The sequence below is a fragment of the Homo sapiens genome, chromosome 2 (genome assembly GCF_000001405.40).
Source record: "Homo sapiens chromosome 2, GRCh38.p14 Primary Assembly".
NCBI classification, from domain to species: domain Eukaryota; kingdom Metazoa; phylum Chordata; class Mammalia; order Primates; family Hominidae; genus Homo; species Homo sapiens.
The window spans coordinates 149,732,893-149,744,878 of NC_000002.12; the positions used below are offsets into that span (position 1 = coordinate 149,732,893).

The following is an 11,986-nucleotide window of genomic DNA, read 5'->3' on the forward strand; positions in this document are numbered from 1 at the left end:
TATCATCCTTGCTTCAAAGTTAAAGTATAAGCTAAATTCCTCCCTTGGTTAGCTTGGTCTATGCCCAGGAATGAGCAAAGGCAGCTCAGAGGTCAGAAGCAAGATGGAGTCCACTGTGTCAGATTTACTCTCACTGTCATAATTTTGTAAAGGCAGTATCATGTGGAGCTGCTGAGCATCTCAGTGGGGCAGCTGTGCCCTCCTGGGCCCTGTGCCAGGACTCCCCACCACTTCATATTTTAGTCTTTTTCATGGGAATGTATGGGATAGTACATGTGAGAATCTTATGGGGTTATTCTGAGGGTTACCCTATATGCAAATATACAAATATACTAATCTTGTAAAGTGGTTGTAAGAATTCCATGACTTATTTCATGTAAAGCTGAAAGCTGTTAGTATAGCATCTGCCAAATAGAAATGCTCAACATTTGAGGGTAAATTTTTTTAAATATGATCACTATGAAAGTAATCAAACTGGATTGAATTCTTTTAAATCAAATAATATTTTAGTCAAAACATAGGAAAAGTAATCAAAATAAGGGCATTTAAGAATGGCTATACAGAGTAGCCTAAGGGGCCTTATATTTGAAATGTATTCTAATGTTTTAAAACCTATAAACCATTGCATAACTATTTCTTATTACCTGTGCTGTAAATATGAAAACTTGCAAAATCAGTGTAGGAAGATGATTTAAGGAAGCAGTCGTTGATCAATATACACTGAATTTTAAACCCATTAAGCACAGTAGATTTAATGAGGAGGAAAATAGAGCTTCCCATTTAATAGAAAAGTGTGGAAAAGTGGAAGTTTTTCAGAGACAACCATTAAAATAATAATGATTTATTCTTAGCCACAACACTAAATGTATTATCATATCATGCTGTCTGTATTTCAGTTAATTAAAGCTTTATGGATTATGGTTTCTTGTTTATTTCTAGATGTCAAATGTTAAATCTGTATCACTATTTAGAGAAAAATGCAACTTTTTGATATTCAAGCTAGTTCATATATATGTAAAATTCTGACATCACTCCTATAGATTTATTTAAAAATGTCAGTAATACAGGAAATGAGAAATGAAGACAGAAAAAGGAGAGAAGCAAAGACAAATAAAGGGAATGGGCCTGGGGAAATTTTCTCATTTTAAATGCTCTACATTTCCTGCCCCGGGGGAATGTGCTTTTATCTCTGCAGTTCTATGTTTTCTGTAATTTGACTTATCATTTTTTCAGTAGATTATAAAGCATTGTTTCCTTTGTCTACAGTGTTGAGGCTGTTGCCCTTACCCCCACCCTAGGAATTCTGCCCATAAATCACTGCTTACAGTCACTTTCTCAGACTGAGTCTAACTTCCCTTCTATCTATATTTGCCTGACCTTTCTATCAGAGGATGGAAACTTTTCAGTAACAATTTCTTGTGCTCTACAAAGAACCAAGTTGAGATAAAATTTTAACTTCTCAGGGCACAACTTAAAAAAGGGTTCTTTTATCTCTCTAAGTAATTTAAATGCAGCTAGTCAACATATGTGTGCTTGGCAATGGCAGGACTAGTTGGGCTATGTGCTGAGGGATGTCGGAAAGTGATGTTAACATGGAGACCCTTGGTAGTAAAAGTCCATGAAGTCAAACCACTATCCTTTGTCTTTGTGCCTGCTCCTAGAATTCCTGTCTTAACTCTACTTCCCATTATTTTTCCTCATGTTTACTTTAAATTCCAGTCAACACAGCAGACTGCAATTCTTTTTTTTATGCCCTGGTTCATGGCGTTGACTGTTAAAATGAAAACCTAGCATCCTGCTCCTGGAGGCTCCACACAATGCACTTTTCCACCTTTCCAATTTCCTGTGTCTCTCACAATGGGCTTCTTAAGCTTAAACGTATATCCTGTTAGCTTTGAATTTGAAGGGTGCACCTTCAGTTTTGGGCATAGCTAAGGACCAGTGTCTTTGTGAGAGGAGAGATACTTGACAGGGCCAGGAACAGTAGAGCAGAGGACTACATTAGAAAGTAACTAAATCAGTTACACAGTTTTATTTCTGCCTCCCACTAACTCTGTTTTCCTTTTTTTTTTTTTTTTTCTTTTTTTCTTCCTGAGGCAGCTCCTGCCTCTGAGTGAACACTTAGTCAGTCCCTTGACTTTTCTGGTCACTCTTAGTAGCAAAATGTCTTATGAACAAGACATAAAACACAGCCTGGGATAAGTATATATAATGTCCAGTCATATATAATTAATACTCTCAACGACTGTAAGTTGAGGCATCTTGTCTTTCTCTCCAGTTTGGTTCTGTTTCAAGTGGAAAGTCTATGGTTGGGGAAGGGTGGTATGTTTAGCTACCTTTTGAAAATGAGTAGTTCTAGTCTTTCCACTGCCCCATATTCCCACAGAGTTTGAAATTGGGTAAAGGTGAGAAATAATAGAGAATAATGCTTTTACTAGTACATACTTACTTCTGTGAAGGGCGCCAGTGTATTCTGGACTTGGCAGATGTCTAGACTCTGATTCCCATAGTTCCTTTCTAAAGTCTCTTTGGAAATCCCCTCCCTATTTCCTCAGGCATTTGGCTGCGGCTCCAAAATGTTTCTGTTATACTCTTAACCCTACATTCTTTCATAGTTTTCTTCCTTTTATTTACACATTATATAAACGGAATTAGAAAAAAAAATGTTCAACATAAATGATAGGAAAATAACTCAGCTCTTGGGCACAATACAGAAAGTGTCTCAGTACATTTAATTGTCTTGAATTCTTGTTACTGTACCTCTAGGGTCTATGTCCTGCTGCTCACTACCCAGCATGCCAATCATGGAGTCAATGAGTATCACCAGGGAAGAAGGCTTTAATTGGGTGCTGTAGCCAAGGAGAATGAGAGGTCAGTCTCAAATCTGTCTCCCTGAGTGACCAAAACTGGGGTGTTTATATACTGGGGAAAGCAGGAAAACAGGAATTAGGAAGGAGTCAGAAAGCAATCATGATAAATGAGGGGTCTGGCATCTCTTTGGATGTGGTGATCTAGTGAGTTTCAGTCCCTTGCCTGAGCGTTGGTTTCCTGAGGAAGAAACTCAGTTAAGACAAATATAAGTGTCAAGTTTTAATATGGAGGGTCAATTTTTATGTTTATTAAAAACCTGGAAATATTATTTCTATGGGACAATTGGCTGGTTTCATTCTCATAAAAACAGTGTCATTGCCCTAAAGCCTGGACTCAAGTATATGAAGAGTAAACACTGGATCAAAAGTGACCATTAAGATGCTTTTGATTCTATTGCAAGTTAATGTGGATTAAAGCACAGTCAGTCCAGTTAGTTGTGCCACTTAAAGCAGTTGAAAACTTTAAGTATAATAACAAAAAATTAGCCAATGTTCATGTGAAAATAGTCTCAGTAAGATTAGTGATAAACAGCCTGTGAGTTAGACATCATAATTTCATTTGATAGACTATGAAACTGAAGCTCAGAGAGATTAATGACTTGGATGAATTCAACAAGCAATAGTGAGGGGCAGAATTACAATTCAGATCCAGATCCTTCAGACTCCAAATTACATATTATTTATACTACATTCTGCAATGTCCTAGAATACACCAAAATAATAGAAACTTTTAAGATGGCAAAGCTGGTCAATAATTTCAAGTATTCAGAGAGGTAAAGATGCAGGGGAAGGAAGGTTAAGAAAATGCCTTTGCAGAGTGGGATGGTGTGGTTGTGACCATCTGAAGACCAATCAATTCAGTCCATCTGGCTAAGTAGGCAGGTGGTAGCTTCCTCCCTTCACACCCTCTCTGACTGTCCTAAAAGTAGAGAAGGACCATTCTTTCGTCAAAGGCGTGGGATTCCTGCATAGTCCTCCAATAAGCTCTCATAACTTTCTGTGGAATAAGCTAAGGAACAGGGTGTTTGATGTGGCATTGTCAGTGGGAAACTCCAAGACAGCAATTACAATACAGTGTTGAGTACAGAAGGAAGAAAATGTAGCAAGTAAGGACTTTCCTTTAGAAAGTTTTCCAAATAAAATGAAAGGGGGAGAAGTGTTCAAAGGGAGACGTGCGTCTCAAAATAAATCTTTTTGAATTTTAATTTCAGATTTTGCAAGACCTGGATATATTCATAGGCAGGGGAAGGAGAATCCTAAGGAGAGAGAGAGAGATGGATTTTGCAAGGAAGAAAAACTATAACATACATTTATCATAGCTTAAAGGATACTGTGTACATATGACAGGGCTGGCCGTGAAAATAAAAAGATACTGTTTTTTTTTTTTTTTTTTTTTTTTGGTCAGGGTAAAAAGAAAGTGACAGAAAGAGAGTCACATGAAGAAGTTAAACATTTTTTAAAATTTCTGTATAATTAGAGTGATTGTAAAGTTTATCATTTAAATCAGATCACTTTGAAGGGGAAAGGGACATCATCTGGGGGGATGTGGAAGAGCAGGCATAAGCCAAGGCTAACAGCGATGTGTGGTCACCCTCCAGTGGCTTCAACCTTCTTATTAAAATTAAGTTAAGGCTGTCTCCCCTACTCTTTGTTTTCCAAACATCTCTTACTCTATGAGGTATACCTCATACCTATGTAGTACTTTTTCTTCTATTTATTTGCTTAAAAATACTTATTAATAACTTTTAATAACCACACCATATTCACTACACTCTGATGTATGATGGAGCAGCCAGCAATTTTTTTGATAACACACTCTATCAGATTTTTTGAACATATATTCTTAATAGAAATATTTATTTTTTATGAATTTCATATGTATCTCATTGAATTATTATATTATGTCCATTTTATTCCAAAAGAGAAAAGTTTCAAAATGGAACAAAGATGAAATATATAATATTTTAAAGGTTTATATTTGTTGATGACCAATCATTTTGTTCTGCATAAAATACTAAACTTACTAGTACTAAACTTTATTAGTATTAAATTTATTCCAAATATTTTATTGTCTTTGAAATTATTTGTTTAAAATTTGAAACAGTGATTCATGGATTGGCTTCTAAGTGGATATACTTGGTTTCAATAATATTCATTACTGAAAAAAAAAACCTCCAAAAGCACAGTGCATGCAAATATGTTACATAGGCAAAGGCAATGTTTAAATAATGAATATCAACCCATACCTCAAATAGGCTTGATAATTAAAAGAATTTTTTTGCCTGACTTTGAGTCAGAGTCTATTGTGTCATCATCGTTTCTCTGTTTTTGTGGCTGACAAAGAGATCACACTCACACGCTTACATGTGTGTACATCATTAGTGTTTACATCAATCTCTTGCTTCTTTAGGGGGATATTTTAGAGCCATTAGTCTGTTCTCTGAGGTATGTTAGCTAAAAACTCAATATAAGAGATTTTACTTGGCCACATAAACTACAGCACATCATAATACAATAAAAGCTGACCAATGAATGAGGAGGATGCTGTCATCCTTCTGTCAACCCCTTTTAATTCAGCATATTTTGTGAACCAGATGTGGTATGTCACTACCTGCATTGGATTAAAATGATCTTACCAAAAAGCGTAGGTCAAAAATAATCTAAATAGGAATTTTAATGTTTTCTTTCTGCACCCCAGAGTGTTGTCTTGCTCATGCTTAGGAGTGCAGGCATAGGCTTTGATATCACATAGACCTTGATTCAAATTTTACCTCCAATGTTTAGAAACTGTGTGGTCTCCCTTACAAGTTGCTTCCTATCTCTGAAACTCATCTCTTCATTGTAAAATGATGATAATAATACTTGACTCGTTTTTTTTTTTTTACTTTTGAAAATCAGCTAAAACAATGGCCATGAACAAAAAATCCACCAAAGAGCCAAGAACGCAGTAGGTGTTTATTGAACCATGAACTACTTCTCTTTCTCTCTACTTTTCTTTCATCTTCTTTCTTGCCTACCATGATCATCTCACACCCTATGCTTTGTACTTAAGCTCAAAAGATTAAAACAAAAAAAAAGGAACTTGATATATTTCATTAGCCATTTGGAGTGCTCAAATTTATTCTCCTACAATGTTAGTTTACAGACATCTGTTTTATATTAGAGAAAGGGGAGCTCTCCCCAGATTCATATATACCACACATTTCTCCTAGGACTCATCAGCTAGGACCACATGAGGTCACATTAATAAGAACAGCTCAAATTCCACTAGTTTCGCTAGCCTTTTCTACTTGTTGGTAAAGGACTTTCAGGTCCCCTGCCAGACCACCCACCTGCATTTCTGGGGCCCTCTAAAGGGTGCCTCAAATGTACTTGCAAGCAGTTTCACCCTGGAGGCACCCAGCAGCCCTGCTCAGTTTGATCCTCTTATTGCTCTTCTGTAAGCTCTGCCCCCTGACATTGCTCTGCATCTGCTTTCCTGATTTTGGGCCCGCCTGCTCCTTGCTCCCCCAATGGCCATTTCAGTCTTTCCTGTTTCTCTGCTCAGCACTGTTGGCAGCTGGATTGATTCACCATCAAGGAAGACCTGAGGTGGCATCATAACCAACCTGCCTGCGGTTTGTGTCAGGGGAGTGGGAAGAGGTAGGAAATGAGACAGCTGGATTCTCTTCCCCTTTGTCTTATGTTCTGGTAGGGTAATTGGAACAGATGGATTACACAATTTACTAAACATAATTATTTTGATTAGCAATTACAGCTCTATCTCCCTCTCTTGGGCTTATACATGTGTCCAGGAGGCTGGGGCAGGAGCAGCTCTGAGGTTTACTATGATGTACTGAGGCTCCCCACCCGACTCTGATAACAGCCTTTGTAATTGGACCAGCAGGTGAACACAGTCTAAGTCCAAGATGAGTTTCTACTATGTCCAATTCTCTTTGTCACCCCAGGCATTACCAGCACATGCCATTCTAGTGAGACAGGGCTTACAGTGAGCAACGAGAGGCATAGGATATAGTGGTATGGACTGGGGAGACCATCGCATAACTCGAGTAGATTTGAGCCACCAAAAACATGTATGAAAAGTGACAGAAAATGTGCTGTTGTCTTTAAATGGTAAAGCCTTCAGTTCCAATATAATTTTCATAAGTTTGTTCTTCATAATTCAGTTAAAGGGCAAAAGCAACTTATTTTTTGCTGCGTTGTGCATTTTAATGAAATGCCCTAGAAGCGTTAGCATCTCCTTGTCTTTCCTTCCCCTGGAAAGAGCAATATATAATGAACATGCTGACATTGAAATGAGTAATTAATATGCAGCTTGTTTAGTCAGTATGAATCAGCGTTTTGATGATGTCTTGTGAGGATAGGATTATAATTGGCAGAATTTCTGCCTTACGGGTGATAATTCTGGATTCTAGAAGGAACAAATGCATTAAATGGTACTGTTAATTTATCTTATAGTAAAGCATACAGCTTACAAGGGAGAAGTAAAACTTAGACAAATGAATAAAAATGAATTTAAAATATGCTAGCTTTGAAATATTGAGGTCATTGAAAATTTATGGCAACTCTTGAATTATCCAGGACAACATTTTAAAAAACGAATTTAAGAATTATCTTCTGTGATGTGTTATCCATAAGGATAATGGATTCTTCAAGATTTACCTGCTCTCTTCTCATTGACTTCTTAGTAATTATGATTCAAAGTGCTGGTTGACTTTTCCAGTTACCTGATATGCTAGGACTACTGCAGTATTCTTAGAGAAAACTCCCTGAACCAAGCCTACTTTGGAATTCGTGTTTCTTCTGTGAATGTAGATTGTTCTCACCCATGCCAAATGAGTTCAGCCTCCAAGCTGTGGCATGATCCTTCAGCCTAACATGCCTTCCACTCACTTATCTACCACATTATTTACCTCTGTTTCCAAACTCTGCTCTAGCTTCTCCAAAGCTGTTTCCTAATTAATCCTAGATGAGCCTAATCTTTAGTGGAAGGATTTTAGCAAGTATGTTTTTTTGAAATGCAACTCTTTTGAAATGCTCTGGGTAAAGGGTTTCATGAATAAAGAATTTAGGAAAATGTTGCCTTTATTGTAGGCCTAGAGCACATTCCATAGAACAATGGTTCATAGGCAGGGAAACGTGTGATCAAATAAGTTAATCAAGATAAGCTTCTTATAGCAGAACTTTTAATACATGTCCTAGAAATCATGTACTCTAGAGGTGATAACTTGATATTAAGATTACATTTGCTTATGTGATTTTCAGATTATTTACTAATTTCTTCTCCATTTTATTTATTTATTTAGTCTTGCTCTGTCACCCAGACTGGAGGGCAGTAGTGCAATCTCAGCTCACTGCAACCTCCACTTCCCAGGCTCCAGCAATCCTCCCACCTCAGTCTCCTGAGTAGCTGGCATTACAGGCACACGCCACCATACTCAGCTACTTAAACATTTTTGTTTTTTGTTTTTTTTTGTAAAGATGAGGTCGTACTATGTTGCCAAGCTGGTCTTGAACTCCTGGGCTCAAGTGATCTTTCTGCCTCAGCTTCCCAAAGGTGTTGGGATTATAGGCATGAGCCACCGTGCCCAGCATTCTCCTCCATTTTATGTAAAGTGCTTCAGTCTTATTGTCTCATCTATCCAAGCACACATATGTAACTCTGCTCAAAGTAGACTTCTAATTCACATTGACTGAATGTAAAAACGGAAGATTAATTGTGATAGACCTGGAAGTTACTATCCTATCTTGATTTGCAAAGATTCCTCGTATTTTTATAAATATTGCCTAGCAACTTTGTCTTATACTGGCCCTGTCCATCACTTCTTCTAATTCTCTAGTCATCACCTTACTTAAAAATGCTGCTAAACACATTCAACTTCAAAGCTATATCATGGGCCTTTGATTTTAGTTCCTATTGCTGAAGTCTGGCCTTTCCCGGGTGTGCAAGTCACAGCTGGTAATGATGGGGACCAGATGATGCCCTAGCAGCACATTAAAGGTTTTTACCAGGATGTGGTTTGATGGTTTTGCTTGGGTATTTTGTTGTTGTTATTCTTTCCTTTGGAATGTGAGTTGTGGCCAAGAATTAATTCCCTGATTGCATTTTTGCTCTCCTTACACATTTGGAGAGTTGGAAAGTATACAGAAACATAAGGAACATCCTTGTAAACCACTTCTCAAGCTAACTAATAGGCTCTTATAGGGTGACTTTTAACTGTGACCTTTTGTTTATTCAATAAATATGCTTCTATTATGTCCAAAATGCCACACTGTGCCACACTGACATCTTGGCCTTATGATTTTTACCAAAGCATCATTATTCTAGACTTTTAGAACCACTTAAATGCCTGTAGACATAATTCATTGAATATCACAAAAAAGATGTTCACCTTTACAGTGTGTGTTCACATCATAATGTGATGGGGCGTGCATGCTCTTATGATGGTTGAGATGCACTGTAAACAATATATAGGGTATTACTATTTAAAATGTTTACTGTATTTTTTTCATAACATTGTCATGTGTCCATTGTAGAGAATTAGAACAATATAAAAAAGGACAAGAAAGAAATTAAAAATCATCTATAATCTTACCACCTTAAGGTAACCATGTATATCTCACTCTTTATTTTATGGTTGGGGAAAAACATAGGATTAGTTAAATTGATACTCCAACCATTAGTGTCAGCATCATAACTAGACAATCTGCCTGTTAGTACCATTCACCAGACTCAGAACCTAGTGATGATTTTATATTGAGCAATTCTAAATGTTAGAGCTATCCAATCCAAGATGATTTTTTCCTAAATTTATACTCTCTTTCTCTTTATTATCTTAATCCATTTCGCTGCTATCACAAAATACCTGAGACTAGGGCATTTACAAAGAATGGAAATTTATTTTCAACAGTTTTGGAGGTTGGGAAGTCCAAGATAAAGATGCTGTCAGGTTTGGTGTCTGGCAAGGACCCCATTCCCTGCTTCCAAGACGGTGCCTTATTGCTGCATCCACTGGAGGTGATAAAGGTTGTGCCCTCATATGATGAAAGGACAAATGGCAAAAGGGCCTAAGCTGGTTCTTCCCAGCCCTTTTAAAAAGCGCTAATTCAATTATGAGGGCAGAGTCCTCCCAACTTAATCACTTCCCAAAAGGTGCCACCACTTAATACCACCACAGTGGGAACTGAGTTTCAACACGAATTTTGAAGGGAACCCATTCAAACCACAGCAGTTATTTTACCAGGCTGAGGACTTAGAACTATTTATCTGTCCCAAATGTACATCTCTAACCCTGGCCACTCCTTAAAATCTTAACTCCTATCGTCAACTGTCATATGGACAAATCCATTTAGATGTCTAAGAGGCATCTCAAACTTAACAAGGCCAAAGCTGAAACCCTGATGTTCCTCTCTCTAGACAATTTTTTTTCCAGGCGGTTTTTCACATCTTAATAAGGAGCATAACATCCACCCAGGTGCTCAGGTCAAAATCTTCACCTCATTTAGCGTTTATGAATCTGGAGAAAGACCTGGGGTAATGCCAGATTTCTCTGGGCAAAGCCATTATTCAAGAATGTAATTTATAGAGGTCAGTTCTTCCCCTGCTAGAAGCAAATGGAATCCTGTCAACCCCCATGCCGGGGGTAGGCATGACTTTGGCAGAACAAATGTTTTTCATATTGAAAAAAAATACCCTTATGGATGACCCAGTCATATGTAGCAGACTTCAACAACTGCTGTTTTTGGCAGCAAAAATCAACCCCAAGGGCTGAAATTTTCAAGCAGTGGCCTTCTGAGTAGCTGCCAATAAAGAGTATTCAGCAGGTTGACTGAAAAACAGAATTTCCAGCGAGCCAAGAAACTAGGAGAACCTGGGTCAGAAGAGATCACAACCCAGAACAGGAGGTTGTCTTTTAGGGGTGATATGTTAATCTACTTCCTCTCTTCTCCCACAGGGAACCTGATGGAATAAACTGCTGTGAGAGGGAGTATTGAAAGTAAGTGAAAAAAAGAAGGGATGGTGGAAAATTCTTCATGGATTCATTGTTATTGGGGAGGGGCACTTTGTATTTATGCAGATAGCCCCACATGTTGTAGGACATTTAACATCTCTGGTTGGGAATGCCAGAAGAGCCCACCAGTCACTGTGATAACCACAAAAGAGTTTAAGGAAAGGATGTGTGTGTGTGTGTGTGTGTGTGTGTAATAGAGAGGAGAAAGCTCTTTTACCTCCTGGGGTGGTTAGAGTTAGGGAGACATGGTGACACACTGGATCAAGGGCAGCCCATTTCAGGATCCTCGAGGATTCCTCAGACAGGGCAGAACGCCTATTGCCAGGGTCCTGCGGGAGAATTCTTCCATCCTGAACTGAACTGACAAGGAATTCTGGGAATTGTTTTGCCATATGCATCCAAATTCCTGTTGGAGTAGGATTCTATTACACACCCTTAAATAACCAGAGTGTATGACACACTGGAGCATCTGTGATGTCATTTTCTCTGTGATACATTCTAGGGGCCTGAGTAATACTAATTAAAAAACATATGTTCCGTCTCCCTGCCGCTTGGGGCCAGGACTAGCTCTGGTGATCATCACATGCATATAGGAAGAAGGGTACAAAAAATAATCTCAGATGATTTAGACTCATCTGCCATGAATATCAATTTCATAAATTTTATAAGTACGCTAACATACAGCATGCCCTTGGGCTATTTATTTCACTTCTCTTAACCTCAGTTTTCCTATCTGTAAAAGGATAATGATACTTACTTTACAATGTTATAAGAAAGAATGGATAAAATAATTATGTGAAGTATCTGATCCACATTTCATGGCTAAATGCTTGTTAATTCCCCATCTAGCCAGACAGCCTAGATAATTAATTACCTGAAGTAAGGAAAATACTTTTGACTAAATTACGTTATATAGTTTTATAAAAGTCTGTCTTTTTAAGGTACTTTCCAACCTTCCTCTTGTCCATCTCATGCTTCTGCACAGCCAGCACTAGACAACTTACAAGAATGCATCTACACATTACCCTGAAGTTTAAACTGAAATATTAAACCTATGAGGATGTCAGCAGGAAAATGGGTTCTGTAATTTTTCTAGAGCCAAAG

At 37.8% G+C, this 11,986-nt stretch overlaps 1 long non-coding RNA gene across 1 annotated transcript in view; it reads left to right on the plus strand.

Annotated features, from left to right (window-relative positions):
• MMADHC-DT (MMADHC divergent transcript) overlaps window positions 1–11,986 on the plus strand; it is a 260,877-nt gene that overhangs the window by 145,535 nt on the left and 103,356 nt on the right. Inside the window, exon 2 of the long non-coding RNA NR_110240.1 lies at window positions 10,826–10,867. This is a non-coding gene — a long non-coding RNA (MMADHC divergent transcript). The remainder of the gene's footprint in view (window positions 1–10,825; window positions 10,868–11,986) is intronic.